Raw genomic sequence first — 25,160 nt, 5'->3', positions numbered from 1 at the left:
GTGGACTCCAGCCTGGGTGACAGAGTGAGACTCCATCTCAAACAAACAAACAAACAAACAAAAGAATGTAATGATCACCCACCCCCGTGCCTTTAAATTAAGTCAGTTCTTGATCTTTAGAGTATATCAGAATCATGTGAGGCTTGCTAAAACACAAATTTCTGGGTCTCATCCCCAGGATTTCCTCTTTAGCATTTGAGCTATTAGCTGAAAAAAAAAAAATGCTGTCTAAATTAAGAGGATGAACTTCACCCCTAGCATCTCCCGTGGATCCCTTGATTTAGTACTTCAAAGTAGGGCTTGATAATTTGCATTTCTAACCAGTTCCAGGGTGCCGCTGTTTCTTTGCTCTGGGAACCACACTTTGAGAAGTACTGGGATAGGTAATCATCTTAGAAGATGTGTGGATAAAAGAGCTCCTCTTTATTCAGTATTGTAGTAGGCATTATGGGAAGGTGATGCTAGGAGTTTGCAGATGTTGGTGATTAGGGAATTAAGGGAATCTCAGAGTTGAAGGGATTGGGGATGGCAGGAGGGTCAAGAGCTGGGAGATAAAAGAAGGAAATGGGGGTAAAAGGCAGGCTGAGGAATTCAAGTGAGAGGGAGAAACCCAGCCTGACACGGATCTCACTGCCATGTGAAGGGATTGCTTTATTGAGTTTGATTGTTGAGGTGGTGACAAGAGCTGTACCTAAAACAGATGGATAAGGCCCTAAAGGTTTTATTGTATTCCTTTCTGTGTTAAATAGCAGATATGGACAACTTCTTTGAACTTTCATTATGGTACTCATTTTCCTTGACCATGTGTATTAATTGCCAGATGAGGAACTCTTTCTTTTGGGCAAATAAGGTCATAAAGATAAGTTGTGACAATTAAATGGCCCCATTTATTTTATCAGTATGTTTGGAAGCTAAGTTGGGCATGATAAGATGTACACAGCCTCTTCTTCTTTAGAGTCCAAAGAGGTGACTTTTGATATCTAAGATTATATGGAAATATTAAGGCAGAAAATGATGCAACTATATTCTTAAAATCAAATATTTTTTATATTCCATTGGTTGTAACTATTCAATATATTATTTTGATTTTAAAAATTCAAAGCTTGCCATATATAGGTGGATAGTATTCAGTTATGAAATCATTAGGATTCCCCTCTCCACCTATGGTTGCTAGCAAAATAATGCCCAAGTCTGTTTTAAAAGCCTACTGAAAAAAAAAAATTTAATGAAATAACAGCAAATAGGAATTGTGATTCCTCTTTCTATAAAATGTAAATGTTAAAATCCCCAAATACCTCTATGACAGCAATATTCAGGAAATAATATTTTATAGTAAACATTTTTAATAAACAGCAGCATAAAATAATCAGTGTTTAATATCATCTCTGGTGTGTGAAATACAAATGCATATATCCTTAATATAAAATAGCCTTTTTGTCATTACAATTCAATGCTTGCCTATTTGAAATGCCCATAATAACAAATCAAACATTAAGTAATACAGTGATTAAATGCATGCAGTGAAAATAAGGAAAGATATGGTAAGGTGAGATATCTGAAAATTGCCATTATATATTTGAAGAAAATCTATATCAAGTTAAAAACAAAGGAAACAAGAAAAACAGACCAGATATAAAAATGCAAAGATATATTTTCACTTCTGTGACACAAACCATAAGCATAGTTTTGTGCAAAAAAGGAGAAAAAGATCTGAAAATAAAGTCATCTTACAAAACATTGTCAACAAAGGAAAAGATATTTTTCAGCTTGTGAAAAAAATACTATTTTAATACAAAAGAGACTGTGTTATATAGTATCACAGTGCGATTATAAAATACATTATTACAAGTGGTTTTGAAATTTCATTTGCTCACTTTAATGTTTTCAGTTATTATAAAATGTTTAAAATAAATGTTATAGTTCTTTATAAAAAACTAACTTGAATTTACTTTTTAACCATAATAATGTTTTACCAGAGTAGGTATTTTACTGGCTCATGGAATGCTAATTTCCCTTTAAGGGACTCCTAGAAAAACTCAAGATTCACTGAAATTGTGTACTTAAAATAATAAATATTCTTGGAAAACAATTGATTGTCATATGATATACAAAATTGTGGTTTGAAGCTTCATCATTAAACAGTTGCATAGCAACAAAAGGATACAAATATTCTCCTCTACCTAAAGTTAAGAAATGTAACTTCTGAATCAGCTTATTTATGCCACAAAAATATGTTTTAATTTATCTCCCAGAAATCTGGATATAACCAATTCTTCTAGTTCACAGTACCTATAAGTTCATGTTTGTTATTTGAAGACTCAGGTTTGGGAAAATTGCAATGCATTTTGGTAAACATATTTTCTTGATTTCTCATGCTAGTTGTATTTTTTAAAAATGAAAACATCAATGTGTTTTTCATTCTCTTACATTCTCCTCATCAAATATCATTTCCAGGAATTACTTTTATATCCCGTAAGTCTCTTTAGAAGTCTCTTATACCTTTAAAGTAAAAATGAGACTTTGAGACATTGTTCTTAGAATAAAGGAGTTTTTTTTTAACAAGAGAAAAATCAAAAGTAAAATTACTTTCTATATAGAACTTGAAACGCATAAGAATTCTAAACTTGGCAAAAGATGGTCGGCAGGTAAATGCCATGAGCTGCACATTTGAAACCTCCCACTAAGGCAAAAATGGTCATGTTACTTCGGTTTGCTAGTTTAAAGAATTCAGTTCTTGGTAACTTTTGAAATGAGAACTCAGTACTTGTTTTTTAGGAAGACCATCATATTTTGCAAAATAGAATTAATTGCCTTTGGATTCCAACTGACTGTATGAATACATTGTTGTAATTCTTGGGGCGGGAATCAAATCTGTGAACATTTCCAGCACAGAAAAAAAGGGAAAGAAACTTTAAAATTACTAGACATTTGTATCATGATGGAGTTTCCTACTTCCCTAGAGCCCATTGACCATAAGCACTCCAATGCCTCGGACAACTTGTAAACAGGGAGTTGCAAGGGGTGGGCGTGCTCATCTGTAGCCACACACTTATTTTTCAGTGTTACTGGTTCCAGAAAACTCCTATGGGGGCTGTCCCCATGGGAACCCTTTTTCCTTTCCCACAGATGCTGATCTAGGCTGTGGGGCCATTTTCCTGGCTGTGCTTCCTTTGGCGCCTCATTCCTAATCCAGCAAAGAGAACTATCAACCAACAATCAATTCTAGCATCCACATCTAGCCTTCTTATGGTCTGATGCGCTGTGTTATTCCAAGGGCAGTGTAAACACACTGTGAGAAACTGTGGGAAAGACCCTCATGATCAGAGGAGGATTCACAAAAAGGCACACTCTACACCTTCCCAAAGAAGCACAACGACATAAAAGGCTTCAGGGCTTGTTATACTTCCCTTATGGCTCATTTCCCTCCAGGGTTTCAAATTTGGCCTGAAGTTTCTTCATGGATTCTGAACATCATTTCCATAAGAACATGCACAGAGTCTAAATTCAATCAATATAATTCCTGAACATCTGTCCTGAAGAAAAGACAGCAGGTAGACAAATGCTATGGTATATATACATCTGGGGGAGAGACCAGTCATGGTGACTGAAGGCTAAAACACAAAGCACCATTTGACTTTTGGTTTTATATTTAATCACAAGGTTCTTTTCCTCTTCACTGGTTTGCAGCTTTCAGTGCTCGAAACCACATGTTCCAATCCCAATGCCATGTCATGCACTCCAATGGAGTGCACATCCCACAATGTTTTTGTTTGCTTGTTTTTTTTTTTTTTTTTTTTTTCTGGCCGAGTGTCTGTCCTGCTTGGTAAGACACAGTGAAACTTCACAGAAGGTACTTGTTGCGATGTCTGCTAAATGAGAACCTTACTTTAATAAAAACATTTGAATATAAATCTTTTCTACGGCCGTCTAGTTTGTCCTGTATACCACATTTACAAAAGTTGTGCATTTTACAGTTCTGCAGAAATCATAGATTCGGTGTGTCCATGAATATTGGCGTCTCCTAGTAAAGATGCTTGCTTTGAGTCAATTTTGTAGGGTTTTTGAGATTTGTTGCCAAAAACGGTGATACCCATTCCACCAGGATGATTTGGAATTGACATGTGTGGTAGTAAAGGAATATTTGCTTCCTGATTGGATCCTGATGAGGGCAAGCTAGTCACATGGCCAGTGCTAGTCGACCCACTGGCACTGCTTGGGGACCGACTCTTGGGAGGTGGGCAGTGCTGAATCACTCTGGGAGGACCTGTTGGCTGGTAGTGGGCAGCTGGAAACGCTGCATATCCAGGAGGTATTGGGTATCCATTGATGGGAATGAATCGCTGGTTCTGAGGTATTGGCGGGCCAATGAAACCAGCAATCTGGCCCTGTGGTGTAATACCCTGGCTCGGGAACATGTAATTAGGATATCTGGGGTTACTGAGATTACTCACTGGGCTGGCACTGAGGGAGGTTGTCTGTGTGGTGGCATTTCCCCCTGAAGGAGTAGTAGAGCTTGTGTGACTTGAGAGTCCCTCCCAGGACCGAAGCCGGACGTGAATATCTTTAAATCTTGGTCTCCTAGAAGGAATCTCATTCCAGCACTCTGTCATGAGGCTGTACATTCTGGGTGGGCAGTCTTCAGAGCATGGTAAGAGCTGCCGTTTTCTCACCATCTCAATCACTTCCTGGTTACTGAATCCATAATATGGCTGGAGTCCAAAACTGAAAATCTCCCACAAGACAACCCCAAAGGACCAGATATCTGAATCAGAAGAGAATTTGCCATACATGATGGCTTCAGGGGGCATCCAGCGAATGGGCAGCAAGGACTTACTCTGGACCCTGTAGTAATCAGCGGAGTAAATTTCTCTGGAAAGCCCCAAGTCTGAAATCTTTACATGAAGTTGCTCTCCGATTAAAATATTGCGAGCTGCAAGGTCCTTGTGGACAAAGAAGTGACTAGACAGGTATTCCATGCCAGCTGCAATCTGAATTGCAATGTGCAGAAAATCTCCGTGGTCCAGGCTGGATTTCACAGTCCCATCTTCATCACTGCTGCAGCCAACATCAGAGTGTGGGGATCTCATGATGAGGAACTCATGGAGATCCCCCTGATTAATATACTCAAAAAGCATGCACACAGGTTGTTCCTGAGTGACGGCACCTAGAAGGCAGACAATATTGGGGTGGTGCAGTTCTGCCATTAGGGAGGCTTCTTGTTGAAATTCCGTCCATTGCTGGGGGTTGTTATAGTCTTTCAAGGTCTTGATAGCAACCAGCTGAGCATGGTCCATGCCTGGGAGATAGAGATGGCCTTTATAGATTTTTCCAAAGGCACACTCACCCAATTCTTCCATAAAGCGTACAGCAGAAAGAGGTAGCTCTTTAGCCTTGCTCTGTATGAAAGAGAGGAAAAACGTGGTTTAAAACATATCTTCAGGCAAGACAGCTTTGCATCCGAAAGGAGGGACGGGGCATATAGAAAAAGGTTCTATAAACAAATTCAATAAAATATTGTAGGTCTATATATCTTTCAAATCGTTGGCTGCAACTCAGGGGAGGTGCCATAGACAACTTTCCATCACTACCCTATCCCTTTCCCTCAACCCAGCCACAAAATGGTTTTTTGCTGTTGTCTAGAGTCTTGGTACTCAAACTGTGGTCTGGGGACCAGCAACATCAGCATCACCCAAACTTACTGCAAATGCAGACTCTTGGGCCCACCTCAGACCTACTGAATCTGCATGTGCATTTAACAAGACCCCAGTGGTTTCTGTGAAGATTAGGGTGTCAGAAGCACTACCACAGAGGCTACAGCCTGGTACTCAGAGCATTTGTAATCTGGTCCTAACTCACTTTCCTGACATGATCCCTTGCTACTTCTCTGTGTGATGGCATCACTTTAGTTAAATAGGTTTTCTCAATGTCCACTCCTGAAACCATTTACATTCTTGCCTAATACTTTTGTTCCTCCAATGTTCTGCCATTCTTCGAATATTTATTGTGCTAAAAGAGAAACCAAAACAAAAGATTGTCCTTCTGAAGTACTCACAATAGAGATGGGAAGGTCTGAAATGCGGTCTTCTCCATTGATTAAATCCTTTGTTTTCTAAAAAGCCTGTTTCAGGCCCCACTTCCCGCAAAACCTTCCCTGACCACTATGGTCATTTCTTTGCTAGACTCTTTTGCCTTTACTGTGAATGCCACCACATACACAAAGCAGTGTGGTGGCTGGTTACACAAGTGGCCTCCATAGCCAGTCTGAGTTGGAATCCTGCCTTCTCCACTTACCAGCTGTGTGACCCCAGATACAACATTTAACTTTTGCCTCAATTCCTTCATCTATAAAATGGGATGATAATAATTGTACTTACCATGTTATTGCAAACTTTTAATGAGTTAATGTTTGTAAAGCACTCAGACCTATGAGTTAAAGTTTGTAAAGCACTCAGACCTATGTCTGGCCCATGGTAAGTACTATTTAACTTTTTGTTATTATTATCAACTTGATGTTTCTGTTCTTTTTATGCATGTATTTTGTCCTCACAACGAGATTTCAAGGGAAATCTTATTGGAAGCACTGCCCTTCATACCAACGTATATCCCTAGGTCTTCGCAAGTGGGTTGTTTATTAATTGACCTTAAGACAGACAGGTGAAGGCATTAGCTCACAATGAAAATAAGTATTGAATCATGACATTTGATCTTGGCAAGTAAATGTCTATAATGTTATATGTTTTTACTATTTTAAAATGTACCTCAAATTTAGTCTGATGTTTCATTTAATTTGTTAGAAAAGAAAGTAATAAAAACAATGCATTTTACATACAACTGATTTTTCAAATAATCCCCATCCTTCAAATCCTTATTTTTTAAAAAAGAATACTACCCTGAAAATTCTAACTGAAACTGACAATGTTGAAATACATATGAAATCCAGAGCTCTCTGTACAGAGTTTAAAACAACAGTTTAGATAATTTGGTAAAAAAGTTCTCTTATCCAAACTCTACTAATTTAGAATTCATGATGATTAGATTTGTTCTAGGCTGATATTTTCCAGGGCAAAATGCCCACTAACCTAATTGTAAGTGTAAATAAACTTGCAGCAAAATACTCACTTAAAAGGACAAATTGGGATTGGGGATTTTGGAACATTAATTATTCTATGCAAATAAACTGTCTCATTATAAATTGGTCTTATTTGTTCATCAAAGCAGATTTTGTGAGGTTTATATTTGGAAATGAGTTTTAGAAAGTTTACTTGTGCTGAAAGTAATGGTAATTTGTTGCTTTAAACTTTCAGTAAATTAAATCTTATTGATCTAGTTCTATTCAATATAGTATTGTTTGTAATAGCAAAATATTATCAATGACCTCCATGTCCCTATAGAGAATATATTAAATCAATTACAGTGGAGCTAGTAAATAGAATATTCCACATTTGAAAAAAAAGAATGAGGACGTTTCGTATGTACTGGTATGGGAAGGTCTGCAAAATCCTTTGCTCAGCTAAAAATAAAAAGCAACAGAACAGTTAATGCTGGATGCTGCTTTTGTGTAAGAGAGAAGGAGAAAAAGAACACATGAAACATATTTCTTTGTATAAGAATAAAGAAACTACGAAAGGATACTTGGGAAATAGATAGCAGTGATTATTGGGGGTATGGAAGTAGAAACTAGAAAAAGGGGGGCAGAGGTTCTGCTTTTCTATGCTTTAAAATTTTTCAACCAGGTGAATATATTAAATTAAATAACTATTTAATTTATTAAATTACTATTTTTTTAAATTAAATAACTATTTTTTTAAAAAAAAAAAAACAATAGGCGAATCTTCCCATCTTACTGAACTAGGAAATATCTTTTGCAATTGTAAGTCCATCCACCATTTTTCCTTTTGCTTTTAGGGTCTGTATTCTTGTGGGAGCTTGTAGAATTCCTTTGAGAGAGCAAGGTGTGGGTGATGAGAAAGGTAACCAGTTGAGCCAACCCTACTTTTTTTGTCTTGTAGCACTCAGATGATTTTACTTTTGCTGGCAAGAGTAACTCAAGGTGAATTTTTCCTGCATGACATTAAGATTGGAGATTTCCATGAGAACTTTTCCTAATGATGTAAATAAATCCAGTTTAGGTGAAGGTCCCTTGAATGGCAAAGTAGACATCACTTACTTTTTGACAAAAATAAGATCTCTACGCTTTTGGAGACAGAGAACTTTAAGGGACTGAGTACTAAAACTTCTTTGTGGAAAATGGGAATTAGGAAGTAAACTCATGGAATATTAGGCTGGTATAATGAGGAGTTAGAAACCCAATACCCTCTCCTCCTTCACTGCTTGAAAAGTATCCATAGGCAGTATGGCATAATTCAAACTAAGTGAGCTTTGGACTCCTATAAATCTGGGTTTGCATCTTGAATCTGCTGCTTTTTATGAATAATAGTTAATACTTACATAGCACTTACTTTGTGCCAGATAATGTTCTAAGCACTTAGCAAATATTAACTTATTTAACACCATGATCCTGTGGCATAGGTCTTATAATATTAATCACTGACCTTGGGTGAATTTCTTAACTTTTCTGAACCTCTGTTTCCATATCTATGAACTAATGTACTATCTAGCTTGAGCTGTTGCAGTAGGAATTAAATACAACGATGTATGAACGTAATTCCCACCTAATAAGTGCCCTTTAAATCATTCTTATTATCCTTATTAGGAAAGTCATCCAGGAAGTAAAGTAATGCAAATGATTTAGATCCATTTAAGCCTTAAGTAGTTGCAGAGTGTTTAACTTTCTTCCTGTTAATCTTTCTCTGTTCTCCTGTAGTTGCTAGTTAAAAAAAAAAAATCCTTTAAAAATGACAGGGAATTTGTTTTGGAGCTTGAGGGTGGGTGAGAAGTTGAGTGGCCTGTAGCTGGCTCCTCTGAGATGTGAATGAAGGTGAAGGCAACAAGAACTCGTGTGGAAGAGTGGATGGTAGCAGATGGGTAAAGGAAGCAAGCCAGCCAAACTTCTGGAGGTGGGAAAAGAGGAAGAGGTGGACAGGACCTTGGCATCAGCCCTACACATGGCCTTGGGGCTTCGTGGCTAAGAAGGCCAGCTGCATTCCCCTCCACTGAGGTAAGCAAATTTGTTCTCATATACTTGCCTTTGGAAACAGAACGCCTAATTTTGCTATTTTACAGATGGAGAAAGGGGCTAAAGAAAGTATCAAGAATTTTCAGGAGAGCCGAAAGAGCCACACTTGCAACTCCAAGGCTCTCTGTTTTTCGGCCCCAGCATTCTGTTTGAAACCAGAGAAGCCTGCTGGCCAGCAATCCCAGATTGAAGCCGAATGTCTCTGGAGGCTCAGCCTGAGAGGCCTGCCACCTCACAGAGCTAGGTTAGCCTTCAGTATGTGGTCACTCTATGGAATTATAATTGTTCTTCCTCCCTGTTCAGACACATGAAAGAAAGTAGATTTTACCCCAAAGTGTATCTTGTCCTATCTCACCAATATCCAGTGGGCCATATAGCATATAATCCCAAGTCTTCTCCAAGGAGTCATTTACTAGAGCTACTGAAAACTAAATTTGGGGGGTTTGCTTTGCAAAGAGGCATGGAAAGCATCTAAAATGGCAGAGTCCACAAAATCTTCCCTTCGAACACCTGTGCAGCTGCCAGCAAAGAAGTGCCCAGAAAAAAAATGCTCCTAGCTTGGTTTCAGGGGAACAATTTCCACAGTGATTTGCATTTTTAAGGTGCTCAAGTTACTTGGTACAAATGAATCCTAACTATAGACTCATTTTCAAATTTTACATAAATCCTGAACTAGTTAAAAAATCATAAAAACCCTTAAAGAAGCAGTCAGTAGACTGTACGGTGATGGCAGGAAATTAGCTGTATTGTTGAGGAACAGATGGTTTACATTATACAAACCCTTTAGGCTAAACTTGTTTAGGTCTGGCATATTGTAAATTATATTTTAGTAATGAAAGTGAAATGACCTCTGCTTGACCTCAAGTGGAGTTTGTCTGTTTGAACCAATGTGGTGGAAAACTATGAAAGAAAATGAAGTCATAAAGTTTTGGCAGTTCAATTTTGGCTCATTTCAAGTTAAGGGGTTATAAATCTGTTTAGTTTTTGTTTGACAAGTATTTGTCATACAGGGATGTACAAAATGTAAAGAAGTGTAAAATACACATGAGGCATGGTGCCAAAGTAAACCAAGTACAAAGGAAAACTGGAATGAATAGGGTCCCGGGCTCCTATCTCTTTATCACTCCCTCCATTAGTTGAAGGACAAGATGGCCTCGGTTTATTATATGCTGTAAGGCAATTAAGTACCTTAAAACTGAAACAGGCTTTCAGTTTCAATGTTAACATTTTTACTTCTCAAAGTAAACACACATCTGCCTTTAAAAAATTATATAAAATTATTATATGAAATAAAAGTTGATGCAGAAGTTAATACATTGTTCCAAGATGCTTCTTTCTTTAGAAATTTTTGAAAAGCAACAGTATTAGAGTTTAAATGAACTCTTTACGGAAGGAAAATTAAGGAAAAACATTTTAGATGCGAGTCATTTAGATGTGAGTCAGATGGGAAAATTGTAGTACTTTCTAAACTGCTGATAAGAGAGACCAGGCTGATACTGGTGGCTTTTTTCACCTTAGTCATGACTGCTAAGTGGGGATGTGGGGGAACTTTTAGATCTCTTAACTTTAGATATGAAAGCAATGAACTATGAGTAGCGTTTTTAAAAACTGTAATTACCTTGGTGGCTGTAGATGGATAAAGAGGGCAGACTCAGTGGCTTTATCTCTTTCCATCTTTGGGAAGTTATACCTTAGGTGACAATACATTTGAAATGACTCCTGGTGAAGCAGCCTACTACTAACCTATTTCCTGCTTACTTTAAGGAAGTGATTACCATAGGATATGCGGTGAGGATTTTGCAATAGCTGCCAACATTTGTATGCAACATGAAGCCTGCTCTGTCACTTTTTGCCTTGAACATAATGTCATATAATTGCTCTACTTTTGAGTCTAACTTGAAGTAGACACACAGATGAAAAACAGAGCTACATTAGGGTGCAGGGAATCGAGCCCAGGGTGGTTCTCTGGGACAGAAACGGGGCTTTAACAACAGTAGGTGCTGAAACAGGATCCATATTCATAAGTCAGCTCCAAACCTCCCCCTGTGGTCCCTTTCACTCAAGGCCAGTTAATTCCCCATGTTCTAATGTCCCAAGACTGACTGCTGCCCTTTTTCAAATCTATGCTATTCTTTTGAAGCTGATTCTGGCTGGACACAAGTGTCTACAGAAGAATAGCAGGTTTCACATGGCATTTGTGCTTGCCTCATGATATGGTTTGGCTGTGTCCCCACTCACATCTCATCTTGAATTCCCACATGTTGTGGGAGGGACCTGGTGGGAGGTAATTGAGTCAGGGGGCAGATCTTTCCCATGCTGTTCTTGTGATAGTGACTAAGTCTCATGAGATCTGATGGTTCTATAAGGGGGAGTTTCCCTGCATAAGCTCTCTCTGTGCCTGCTGCCATCCACGTAAGATGTGACTTGCTCCTCCTTGCCTTCCGTCATGATTGTGAGGCGCTCCCAGCCATGTGGAACTGTAAGTCCATTAAGCCTCTTTTTCTTCCCAGTCTCAGGTGTGTCTTTATCAGCAGTGTGAAAATGGACTAATATTGTAAATTGGTACCAGTAGAGTGGGGTGCTGCTGAAAAGATACCCGAAAATGTGGAAGTGACTTTGGAACTGGGTAACAGGCAGAGGTTGGAACAGTTTGGAGGGCTTAGAAGAAGACAGGAAAATGTGGGAAAGTTTGGAACTCCCTGGAGACTTGTTGAATGGCTTTGACCAAAATGCTGATAATGATAAGGACAATGAAATCCAGACTTAGGTGGTCTCAGATGGAGATGAGGAACTTGTTGGGAACTGAAGCAGAGGTGACTCTTGTTATGTTTTAGCAAAGAGACTGGCGGCATTTTTCCCCTGCCCTAGAGATTTGTGGAACTTTGAACTTGAGAGAGATGATTTAGGGTATTTGGCGGAAGAAATTTCTAAGCAGCAAAGCATTCAAGAGGTGATTTGGGTGCTGTTAAAGGCATTCAGTTTTAAAAGGAAAACAGAACAAAAGCTTGGAATATTTGCAGCCTGACAATGCAATAGAAAATAAAATCCCATTTTTTGAGGAGAAATTCAAGCTGGCTGCAGAAATTTGCATAAGTAATGAGAAGCCAAATGTTAATCACCAAGATAATGGGGAAAATGTCTCCAAGGCATGTCAGAGGTCTTCACGGCAGCCCCTCCCATCACCCAGAGGTTTAGGAGGAGAAAATGGTTTTGTGGGCTGGGACCAGGGTCCCTCTGCTGTGTGCAGTCTAGGTACTTAGTGCCCTGTGTCCCAGCCACTCCAGCTATGACTAAAAGGGGTCAAGGTACAGCTCGTGCTGTGGCTTCAGAGGTTGGAGGTCCCAAGGCTTGGCAGCTTCCATGTGGTGTTGAGCCTGCAGGTGCACAGAAGTCAAGAATTGAGGTTTGGGAATCTCCACCTAGATTTCAGAGGATGTATGGAAATGCCTGGATGCCCAGGCAGAAGTTTGCTGCAGGGGTGAGGCCCTCATGGAGAACCTCTGCTAGGGCAGTGTAGAAGGGAAATGTGGGGTTGGAGCCTCCATAACAAGTCCCTAATGGGGCACTGCCTAGTGGACCTGTGAGAAGAGAGCCACTGTCCTCCAGACCCCAGAATGGTAGACCCACCAACAGCTTGCACTGTGAGTCTGGAAAAGTCCCAGACACTCAATGCCAGCCCATGAAAGCAGCCAGGAGGGGTACTCTACCCTGCAAAGGTGCAGAGGTGTCTGATGCACTGCTTGCATCAGAGTCACCTGGATGTGAGACATGGAGTCAAAGGAGATCATTTTGGAGCCTTAAGATTTGACTGCCCTGCTGGATTTTGGACTTGCATGGGGCCTGTAGCCCCTTTGTTTTTTGGCCAATTTCTCCCATTTGGAATGGCTGTATTTACCCAATGCCTGTACCCCCACTGTATCTGGGAAGTAACTAACTTGCTTTTGATTTTACAGGCTCATAGGCAGAAGGGACTTGCGTTGTCTTGGATGAGACTTTGGACTGTGGACTTCTGAGTTAATGCCGAAATGAGTTGAGACTTTGGGGGACTTTTGGGAGGGGATGATTGGTTTTAAAATGTAAGGAAATGAGATTTGAAAGGGACCAGGGGTCAAATGATATGGTTTGGCAGTGTCCCCACCCAAATCTCATCTTGAATTCCCATATGGTGTGGGAGGGACCCAGTGGGAGGTTATTGAATCATGGGGGCAGGTCTTTCCCATGCTGTTCTCGTGATAGTGAATAAGTCTCATGAGAGCTGATGGTTCTATAAGGGGGAGTTTCCCCGCACAAGCTCTCTCTTTGTCTGCTGCCATCCACATAAGATGTGACTTGGTCCTCCTTGCCTTCTGCCATGATTGTGAGGCCTCCCCAGCCATGTGGAACTGTAAGTCCATTAAACCTCTTTTTCTTTCCATTCTCAGGTATGTCTTTATCAGCAGTGTTCAAACAGACTAATACACCCCATCAGAGGAATGATGAGCAGACCCTGGCCCTACTAAAATTAGAGGAGTATTTTTGGTAATAGGAGGGCTATCCCAGGTCCTTTTTCTCTTTGGAAGCACAGTTTTCTCTGAGATTGGTATTCCCTATGGGCTGACTTGCTTCCTGAATCTCAAGTACTGACCAGCATAGTCTACATCAGAGCAGGCATCAGTGCCACTTGTTAAAGCACAGATTGCTGGGATTGCTGGGCTCCACCTCAAGAGTTCCTATGTGGGTCTGAGATTGTCCATTTCTGACAGTTCTCAGTTGAGGAGACTCCTGCTGGCCTAGAGGCCTCACTTTGAGAGCCCCTGGAATAAATGGATGTAGTTTTCTGGATCAGTCAATTCCTTAGTGATCTGGGTCCCTTCTCTCTGCATGATGAATGACCACAATGTGTCTGATGAACCTAGTTGGGCAATTTAAACTTATCCAACTGAGAGAAAACAATACTCTTGCTTGAAAAGATGCTTTGGAAATATCAGGTAGAGAAAAATATAAGAACCATTAACCAGCATTTATTAGGTTTATATACTACATGACTACTTGTAGTCATAGCTTGGGCCATATCACCAGTTTCCTTTAGTTTCAATTAGAGCCAATCATTTAGGATATATTTTAATAGCTAGTTGCATCAGTCAGTCAACTGATACTGTATATACAATATACTGAAGAATATACATACAGACTACTATATGAGGGGCCATGAAAGAACCATGAAGAGAGAAGACATGGCTCCTATCCTAGATATCTGTAATCTGAATTTAACAATACCTACCATTTATTAAATATCTGCCATGTGCCAGACACTGAGATCCTAATAATGGCTATGATTTTTTGAATGCTTATATGTTAGGCTGTAAGTACTTTACACATATTAGCTCCTTTCATCCTCACACTAACCCCATGAGATTGGTAACTATGACTCACACCTATTTTACAAATGGAAAAACCAAAGAACAGGTCAGTTAAGTGGTCTCACAGCTGGTAGGTGGTCAATTCAGACACCAGAGCCTGCCTTGCTAATGACCACACTATACTCCTTGTCTGCTCTCGGACATAAAGTGCTTAATGCATCAACCCATTTAATCCTTATCACAATTCTGTGAGATTCATATTACGACTGCCCCCATTTTATGGATAAGGACATAAGGCATTCAGTGGTTAAGTAGCCTGCCTAAAGAAGCACAACTATTAAGTGGTGATGCCAAGATTCAAATCCAAGAATGTCTGACACCAAAGTTGCAGAGCTTTCTGGGAAGAGGAGGCAGACTTTCCATCTGATCCTCAAAGGACTCTACATTTTAAAAGCATGAGGACCATTGATGCAAAAGTGAAATGCTCAAGGTATAAGAGCTCTCTGGTTTTTGAGTTAGACCTCACTCCGTTGATGCTCTGTTGTCTCTGCTAGCTAGTTGACTGGGATAGATGAACAAAACCTGTCCATGGCAACCTTCACCTGAATTGAGCATGAGAGCCCTGGAGAGTATATAGATGTAAGATTTCTTAGTACCTAGACTTGGCTGTTGACATGGATCTGCTTGACTCCAAAACCTATTTTCCTTTCTTGTGCATTTTACTGGTTCTTAGGTAAACAGTGTTAGAATTATGAAACAATTGACTCTACTCATAAATGGAAATGATTACATTTTAAAAGCTTAGAGGCCACAGCCATTTTGTTTTGGGAGGTTATGGACATTTTCAAAGACTACAGCTGGATTAAGTGCCTTCTGGCTTATGCAATCAAGTTCTAGAGGGAGTTTCAACCAATATTTTGCCACACTTGCTTGGAGTTCAGCTGCATTTCTCTGGAAGTGATTTAACTTCAGAAGCATTTCTTTTCTCTATAACGTAACTTTCTGATAGTTAGCTTGAATGTTTGGTGGTGAGCAGGGTTGATTCTGTGGTTGAGTTACTTTATAATGCCAATGGGAGAGGTTCTATTCTGCCTGGAAATAGACAGAACAGATGCCAGTAATTTTAATGTCAGCTTGAGCCATCACGTGCTCATAACTTGGGCTCATATATTTCAGTCAGCCTGAAAATAAAGGCAGTAGAGGCAAATAGAAAAGCACTGGGCTCTGCACCTGAGCAGACCTGGGTTCAAGTTTGGCTCTGTCACTTAATAATTTGTGACTTTGGGCCAATTCTGAATCTGAAGCCTCAGTTTTCTCATCCTAAAAATCAGACTTAAATTAGTACCTACTTCATAGGGTTATTACAAAGATTCTATTGAGATATTGAAGTACTTTAGTCCGTTTATGATGCCAATTTATAATATAGTCATTTATAGGACTTGTTTTTCCCAGAAGTAGAGTTTCTATAGACATTGGTTTAAGCTGAGGTTATGTACCGGGCAGCCTCCCAGCCCTCACTGTCAGACCTTCTCCACCCTGATGGATTTTATCCAGGATGTGAGCAGGGTGTGGGGCAGGAGAATGTATGCTAACAGGATGGACACAAGGAATACGAGAGCTGTCCAAAGAGCTACCTCTATAATCTTTGCTGGGATTCTCTTGCCTGTGTCCTCACCCCAGTTAATGCTGTGCATTGCTGGATCCTATAGCTTCCTCCCCAGCCCACAGTATCCTATGTTTGCACAGCATTTGCTTCATTAATCTATGTTTGCACAGCATTTGCTTCATTAAAAGAGCTGTAGTCAAAACACTGCTCAAAGAAATCAGAGATGACACAAACAAATGAAAAAACATTCCATGCTCATAGATTGGAAGAATCAATATCATTAAAATGGCCATACTGCCCAAAGCAATTTACAGATTAAATGCTATTCCTACTCAACTACCATTGATATTCTTCACAGAACTAGAGAAAACTATTTAAAAATTCACATGGAACTAAAAAAGAGCCCAAATAGCCAAGAAAAAAGAACAAAGCTGGAGGCATCATGCTAGCTGACTTCAAACTATACTACAGGGCTACAGTAACCAAAAGAGCATGGTACTGGTGCAGAAACAGACACATAGAACAATGGAACAGAATAGAGAACTCGGAAATTAGATTGCACACCTACAACTACCTGATCTTTAACAAACCTGACAAAAGCAAGCAGTGGGGAAAGAATTCCCTAGTAAAATAAATGGTTCTGGGATAACTGGCTAGCTATATGCAGAAGATTGAAACTGGACCCTTTCCTTATACTATGTACAAAAATTAATTCAAGATGGATGAAAGACTTAAATGTAAAACCCTAGTGGCTCATGCCTGTAATCCCAGCACTTTGGGAGGCCAAGGCAGGTGAATCACTTGAGGCCAGGAGTTTGAGACCAGCCTGGGAAATATGGCAAAACCTCATCTCTATGAAGAAAGACAAAAATTAGCCACGTGTGGTGGTACATGCCTGTAGTCCCAGCTACTCAGGAGGCTGAGGCATGATAATTGCTTAAACCCAGGAGGTGGAGGTTGCAGTGAGCTGAGATCACACCACTGCACTTCAGCCTGGGTGACAAAGCGAGATTCCATCTCAAAAAAAAAAAAAAAAAAAAAGTAAAACCCGAAATTATAAAAATCCTGGAAGACAACATAGGCAATACCATTCAGGATATAGGCACAGGCAAAGATTTCATGACGAAGACACCAAAAGCAATCAAAACCAGAGCAAAAATTGACAAATGGGATCTTATTAAACTAAAGAGTTTCTGCACAGCAAAAGAAACTATCAACAGAGTAACACAACCTACAGAATGGGAGAAAAATTTTGCAAACTATGCATCCGGTGAAAGTCTTATATCCAGCATTTCTAAGGAATTTAAAGAAAAACAACCCCATAAAAAGGACATGAACAGACACTTTTCAAAAGAAGACATACGTGTGGCCAACAAACATATGAAAAAAAGCTCAACATCACTGATTATTAGAGAAATGCAAATCAAAACCACAATGAGACACCATCTCACACCAGTCAGAATGGCCATTATTAAAAGGTCAAAAAACAACAGATTCTGGCGAGGTTGCAGAGAAAAAGGAACGCTTATACACTGTTGATGGGAGTGTAAATTAGTTCAGCCATTGTGGAAACCTAAAATATCTAAAGACAGAAATAGCATTTGACCTAGCAATTTAAATCCTGGGTATATACCCAAAGGAATATAACTGATTTTATTATAAGGACACATGCACATATACGTTCACTGCAGCACTATTCACAACAGCAAAGACATGGAATCAACCTAAAGGCCCATCAGTGATAGACTGGATAAAGAAAATGTGGTACATACAATATACTCCATGGAATACTATGTGGACATAAAAAAGAATAAGATCACATCCTTTGCAGGGACATGGATGGAGCTGGAGACCATTATCCTTAGCAAAGTAACACAGGAACAGAAAACTAAGTACCGCATGTTCTCACTTTTAAGTGAGAGCTAAATGTTGTTCTCATAGACACACAGAGGGGAACAACACACCCTGGGGCCTTTCAGAGGGTGGAGCTTGGGAGGAGGGAGAGGATCAGGAAAAATAACTAATGAGTACTGGGCTTAATACCTGGGTGATCAAATAATCTGTACAACAAACTCCCATGACACAAGTTTACCTACATAACAAACCTGCCCTTGTACACCTTAACTTAAAATAAAAGTTAAAAAAAAGATCTGTACTCATCAGTTATAACAATAATAGTAATTTCTGGTTATTAAGTACCTGTGAGGTGCCAGACATGCTATCTCAAAGTGTAAAAAATATCCCTTTTAAGTACTATTCTTATCCTTGCCTTATGGATGAGAAAATAAAAGGTTCAGAGAAGTTAGTTATTTGCTTAAGATCTTGTGGCCAGTTGACAGCAGAGCCAAGATTTGTAATCATATCTCTTTGTCTCTACACTCTTGCTCTTTGAAGTGTATCAGACTACTTTCCAGAAATAAACTAAGAGAAAAGTGTGGCTGGAAAGGTAAGCTAGGCCCCGATAGTATGGACTTTTGGGTGGCAGGATTTTGGTGGCAAGAATTTTATAACTTGAAACTGGGCCTTCCAGGTTGGGAAATCATTACACTCAAGGGGGAGCTAGAGCAATGCCAGAGGATGAAATCAGCTCAAGAGAATGAGAGAGGAAAAGAATGTCAGAGGATGCTCCCATTAAGGGAATTAAAAGAACTAGTGAAGGAAGTGTGGGAAGCAGATAGGAGGAAAGTCAAGGGGAAAAAAAAATATATTTCAGGATGGTGGTTAAGAATATCAAAGGCTCCAGAGAAATTAAAGGGGAGGAAGACTTGGCAAAGGTCACTGGATTAAATAACATCACTGGTGCTTCCCAAGAGGCCCATGTTAATAGAATGGTGAGCTCAGAAGTGTTGGGAGACAATAGCTTTAAGGAGTGAGTGGAAAAATTATCGAGGATATTTTAGCATGAAGTGTGGTGACATTTGGTAAGAACAGCAAATTAAAAAGGGTAGCCAGACTCCAGCAGGGCTTTTAGATGGAAGCATGTTGCTGGCAAAAGGGACAGGGCCAGAGAATGTAATCAAATTTCAGTATATTCAGCAACTACTTTGGCTGGAAAGGAAAACGGAGAGATGAATTGTCTGGAAGTGAAAAAGGAGAGAAGCTGGCAAGAGATGAGGGTAAATTGAGAAGTAAAACACAGCCATCAGCTTTGGAAAGCTGGGCCAGTCTTGCTTTCTTTCCCCTGCGATGTTCCTTACATCAGCCAGGAGCTGCAGGAGTTCGACTCATGGGGGCTGTCCAGGCTTTGGCTGCATCTCACACCCCTGGCCTGCCTTGACTCTTCCTCGCCCCCATTCTCAGACTCCTCCATCTTTTTTTCTTTTTTTGAGATGAGTCTCACTCTGTTGCCTAGGCTGGAGTGCAGTGGCATGATCTTAGCTCACTGCAGCCTCAAATTCCCAGGCTCAAGTAATCCTCCCACCTCAGCCTCCCGAGTAGCTCTGAGTATAGAGATGCACCACCATGCCTGGCGAATTGTGTGTGTGTGTGTGTGTGTGTGTGTGTGTGTGTGTGTGTGTGTTTGTAGAGATGGGGTTTCCCCATGTTGCCCAGGCTGGTCTTGAACTCCTGGGCTCAAGCGATCTGTCCAGCTTGGTTTCCTCAAATGCTGAGATTACAGGTGTGAGCAACCATGCCCCTCAGACTCCTCCATCTTTTAACCTCTCTGTCTGCCTAACCTCCAGGCAGGTGAGGAGCCAGGAGGCCTGGGCTGAATGGGACCCATCCTGTTCTTGAAGGGGAGACTCTGCCCCCTCCCTGCTCCCACAGTAGCACATACCACAGCTTCTCTCCCTTACCCAAGCAAGCTTACAGAATGCTGTTTTCCAGAGTCATACCTGGCAGGGGATGTAGGGGCAAGGGAAGGAGAAGCAAAGGAAAAGAAACAGAGAAGGGAATTTAGAGTTTCCAGGCTCCTCTGAGAAGGTTCAATTTCTGCTGTACTAAAAGAAGAAAAAACAACCTCACTCAGATTGTAAAATTTGTAATGCAATATAGAAAATCCTGCTTAGTTTAGGCAACACTACAGTACTCGTTAGAGGATTGAATGGCTTCAAATCTTTGGCTAAACAAAATAACAGGAAAATAAACAGTCTTATACTTGAATGCAGTCTACTTCTTCTCCTGAACAGCTGAGAAAATTGAACTGCAAAAAGCTAGATGGCTTCTCAGAGTCACAGAGCAGTTGGCATGGGAGCCAGGACATCTCCATCTTCCTGATTGTTCGGCGTTAAGGTGCCTCTCTGGTCCACTGGCTTCCTTTGCCCACAGATCAGAAGGAAACTCATGGCTCATCAAAAGCTTTTACTTCCAACTGCACTGTCCTACCTCTCTGGGGACCCAAGCCGGGCCTCGTCAGCCAGTCTGTCGGCAGCTCCCTATTGTCCTCTCTCAAGGGTATCAGTTTCTAATCTCCCACAGGAGCCTCTTCTTCTCAATCCAAACACTCAGGAGAATTTTAGCGGCTCAGCAAGTGAAGAGAGATGGAAGCAGAGAGTTTAAACCCTGAAGGGCACATTCATTTGGATAAATAAGAACCCTAGAGTCTCTGACTTTTGAATTGGCCAAGGGGAAAAAAGAATAAGGCTAGGGCAGACTGGCTTCTATCCTTCATTCCTTTTTCATCCTCGCCTCCAAATATTCTTTTGATTTTGCTCTGGTGGAGTGTTTGTTTTCAGGACTTTTCTTTGTTTCTTTCTTATGTGTGTCCTTTCCTTTTAGATTTTATAGGTACATGTAATATTTATGTGTCAGTGACCTTCCAAAGCAGTTTTAGAGATTTTCTGTTTACATTTAGGAATTTTCTTTAAGGTCTACAGAGTCCTTTGTGCTTTTTCCAGGAAAGGCACTCAGTAAGAACCAAAACAAACAATTGAATAACTCAAATTTGATCGGAGCCAAGTCCCTTAGAAGTGTAAGAAAAAAAAAAGTTAGCATTTGTTTTTGTTGTTTCCTTTCCCCTCCCCAACCCATTCAAATATTTAAGCCATTTCTACTTCTCTGGTTCAGGAGTTTAAGGCTAAGCTCTAAGCCTCATAGTGGACAAATCTTGACACTGGGAGATTTAGCAAGGCACACCTCAGAAATGATCCAGAAACTATGAAAACAATGTTTACTTCACCCAGTCTCTGGGAAAACTCATGCCAGTATATTTCACATTTGTCTCTGACCATGAAGGATGGGGAACTATTATTGCTCTAGCCAAATTGTACATGTCCCTGGCAGGGCTAGGGCTACATCATTCAGAGACTGCCATGCAGGCCCCTTAAATATTTGTCAGAAGCCAGGAGAATGCCTGTGGTTACTCTGAAGCACAAACTGACCAAATGGGATCACACTCAGTTGCTTGCCTAACCCTCCCTCCTCCTTCCCAACTTGATCTGTTCTGTGAAAAAGTTATCACGGATTCTGCAAGAGCAAGGGCCAGCTCTATTTAGAAAAGGTGAAAGATCCTGTATTCACATTTTATTGCTTCTAATAACTAGCTCTTGGACCTTGGGGAAGTTACTTAGTCTGTTTGTGTCTCAATTACCCTGGTTGTACAATAGTAATAATAATACCTGCCTTATATAATAGCTGTGAGGATTAAGTGTGATAATGGATGTAAAAGCTCCTGGTATTGTTCTTGACAGTTTGTATTCATCGATATATATATTAGCCTTTTTTCTATTTATGCCACAAAGCTCTCTGGAATTTCTGTTGGAGATCATGTGATATAAAACAAACCTCCACTAAAAATGTAATTCAATTGCAGATTAAGGCTAACCCACAAAATTGATAATTTCTAAAAATGGAAATGATTCTTCCATGGTTCCTGCCCTGGCAATGAGGAGTACATCTTTCCAGGATGGTGGCTACTGCACCAAACTGCCGTCTGCTGTAACCAAAATGATCTAGGTCTCTCCCCCGCCCAGAGTTCTGGTGTTTCTAAGACTTCTCAACATTTACCAACAGAAATGAAAGGGAAAGAGTCTCATGGAACAATGACTCTTACACTAGAAGCTTGAAGTCATGAGCTAGGTAAAAGTATCTGCCAGGTCAACTAGGTGAATGTGTAGCAATATTAACCCCCATCCATTTGCTTTCACTACTTTTATAGTAGCACTAAGTAGTAAGGATTAAATGTGATATTATATAAAATGCTATAATATATGTAAATCAGCTAGCTAGAAGCTGGGATGTCAAAAGAGTTGAATCCCTACCCTGCCCATCCTCCAGGCTACTGTGTGAACTCTATGGTCTTCAGGATTTGTAGGGTTTTTTTTTTGTTGTTTGCTTGTTTTTAATGATAAAAATTCACACTCAGCAAGAGATCAGTGGTTTTGCTGAATACAGAATATATACACTGAATTTTTAGCATTTAAGGAATTCCAAATCCTATTAATAAATATGACTTTATAATAGCAAAAATCTTTTCAAGATTTTTTAGATAAAAAAAATTTAAACAGTAAAGCAGAAAAAAAAATGAGGGCTCTGTGTCAGCCCAATTACGCTACTCCATTTATTAGATAAGAGGATTAGTTAATTTGAGTGTGAAGACTTTTTTTTCCTAAAATTTTATTAAAAGTGATGCTTCTCCTCTTTATGAGGATCAAAAGAATAATACAGTTACTAGTCCACAGGGAAGATAAATATTTGTTGAATGAATGAATGTTCTTATGGAATTGGAATAATTAGAAAAAAAAACAGGCTGTTAGATGCAAGAGTCTTAAATTATTTAAATGAAATCTTTTTGCTGAGAGGCCTGGGATTGTGGTGCTGGCTTTCCTGAAAGAAAGACTCTGTTGTATTTTAGTTCCAAGATGCAGTGCAGGGGCTCCATTTAAGGTAAGGGCCAGTGACCCTGGGTTCCTTGCCAGGACCTCGAGCAACTCAAACGTTGAAAGATGTGGATGAAAAGCAAAAGGGAAGGGGTTGATTTAGCTCAAAGTGGGGAAGGCTAAGGTTGGTTATCATAAAACAGCATTCGAAGACTATTGGAAGGACAACACTTCCTTAAAATATACTTAAGCCAAAGAAAAAGGGATGTAAGTTAGGCATACAAAGGATTTTTTTTAAATCGTGGTAAAAAAACACAACAAAATTTACTATCTTAATCATTTTTAAGTATATAGTACAGTGGTTTTAACTATTTGCATATTATGCAACGAAAAGGTTCTTGACAGTGAAGTTTGTGAACAATGATGGATCTTGTTCTCTCTTGCAATTTGGATGGAAAAGTATGAAATTTCCTCTTTGAAATTTTGAAAAATTGCTCACGTTCTGAGTCCTGACGGGCTGGTCAGGATGATTTCTTAGGGATCACTTCTAGCCCAATGACTCTATGGCAAGGCAGTGATATGGCTGGCTCAACACTGAAGTAGACATACTGATGAAAGTGTCTTGGTTTAGATAGAGGTAGGTAGTTCGTCTTTGCATTTGGTTAAAATGAACCTTAGCACTTATAAAACTCTGATTCCATATCATTCGATTTCCAAGCTTGGGAGGGTTATAACATGGTGCTTTAACTTGAAGCCCACGGAACAAATGTAGCTCTGTACTGCTAACATTACCTTGGGTTTATATGCATTCAGCATTGACATCTCTACATTTTGACCTCTGACGTGTTTTGGTTGCCTCTGGACTGGTGCCGACGATGACTTCTGGTTATTCCGACAGACGCAAATGAAGAAGAAGAGTAAAGCAATGGCCAGGGGAATGGCCACACTTGGCACTAGTATGTACAGGATTTCCATTTTATTCTTCTCCTTGGAATCCTTTGAATCTGGGTGCAGAAATGAAAAAGAGCAAAAGTTATACTCTTTAAAGTAACATGCATAATATTACATTGCATAGTTTAAAATGAACCACCTCTTCTATTCTTTTATACACACAAATCCACTGTGAGAAGAAAGGAATCCACTGCTTATTACCATTTGTTTCCATCAAACCTTCAACATAATTTATTGAAGTTTAAAAGTTTAAAGTTCAAATGTTTAAAAACTGCAGAGGGACATTATGAAGACTTTGTACGTGTGTGGGTCCTCCTCTGATGTTGCCTCTCTTTAGTGGCAGACCTACATTTCTCTAACACCTTAAAAGTTAAACGCCACGTGAATGGACTGTATACATCCAAGAGCCTTAATGTGGACCACAGGGCTCTTCTTCCATTGGCTGCCAGCCCAGATCAGCCCCCACAAGATGGTGTTCTAGAAATCATGACCTTGTCTTGGCTGGTTTGGACTTATGGGGCCAAGCCTGCATCTTCCAGAATCAACATTACTAAGGAATCCTGGTCCCAGTGTCCAAAAAGCCACTGGCCTGAGAATATGGGGGCCTGAAGTCAGGGTCAGTTTGATCTTTGATCAGCTGTGTGACCTTGAACAAATATTCACGTCTCTGGGCCTCATTTTTTACCTCTGCAAAAGTGAAGTGTCTGTTTTGGATGGTGTCTATAATTCCTTCCAGCATGGCAGCACTGTATAATCTGACACTTTATTGAAACCCCAGAATTCTTAAATGGTTTCATATGAGCCCAATAATTATGAGTGCTAACACTTTGAAGTATATTTTTGAAATCTTATATCCCATTGCTTGGAAAAGAATATAATATGTGTAGAACACGAGACATACTTGTCTTTTTATCAGTTTGAGCCTAACCATTGAAACCAAATACTTAGGCATATATTGTCATTAATGAATTATTTGACTGGTAAAACAAACACAGAATTATGGGATAGTAATTAGAGGGGTTACATAATGACATGCCCTGATAACGAAGATCAGCTATCTTTAAGAAAACTCAAAGTGTGAAAACTCAAATTGACACAAAATTCAGAGATGATTATTTACCTTACAAAAGAATTAACCATGCATTCATTCAATTACCCTTCCACTCATTCAGTAAGTCAATAAACAAAAGCTACTGCATGTCAGGCACTATTGTAGGTACTGGGAATACAAAATTAGGTATGACATGTCCTCTGCCCTTAAGGAGCTCATCGTCTGGTAAGGAAAATAGAAGAAAGATAATGACATGTCCTGTAAATGCTAAACTGGAAGTATAAAGATAGTGATGAAAAGACCCAAAAGGTCCTTTAAA

At 39.8% G+C, this 25,160-nt stretch overlaps 1 protein-coding gene across 4 annotated transcripts in view; it reads right to left on the bottom strand.

Annotated features, from left to right (window-relative positions):
• Window positions 1,326–25,160, bottom strand: part of ROR1 (receptor tyrosine kinase like orphan receptor 1) — a 407,482-nt gene continuing 383,647 nt past the window's right edge. For all 4 annotated transcript variants that reach the window (NM_005012.4, XM_011541526.2, XM_017001377.2 and 1 more), the window contains 2 exons: window positions 23,632–23,843; window positions 1,326–5,396 (listed from right to left, as the gene is read on the bottom strand). In NM_005012.4, coding sequence (NP_005003.2) covers window positions 3,969–5,396; window positions 23,632–23,843 — 1,640 coding nt within the window. In that variant the 3' untranslated portion in view covers window positions 1,326–3,968. The remainder of the gene's footprint in view (window positions 5,397–23,631; window positions 23,844–25,160) is intronic.

Source organism: Homo sapiens, chromosome 1, assembly GCF_000001405.40.
Source record: "Homo sapiens chromosome 1, GRCh38.p14 Primary Assembly".
NCBI lineage: Eukaryota > Metazoa > Chordata > Mammalia > Primates > Hominidae > Homo > Homo sapiens.
This window is presented reverse-complemented; position numbering and strand designations above follow the sequence as displayed.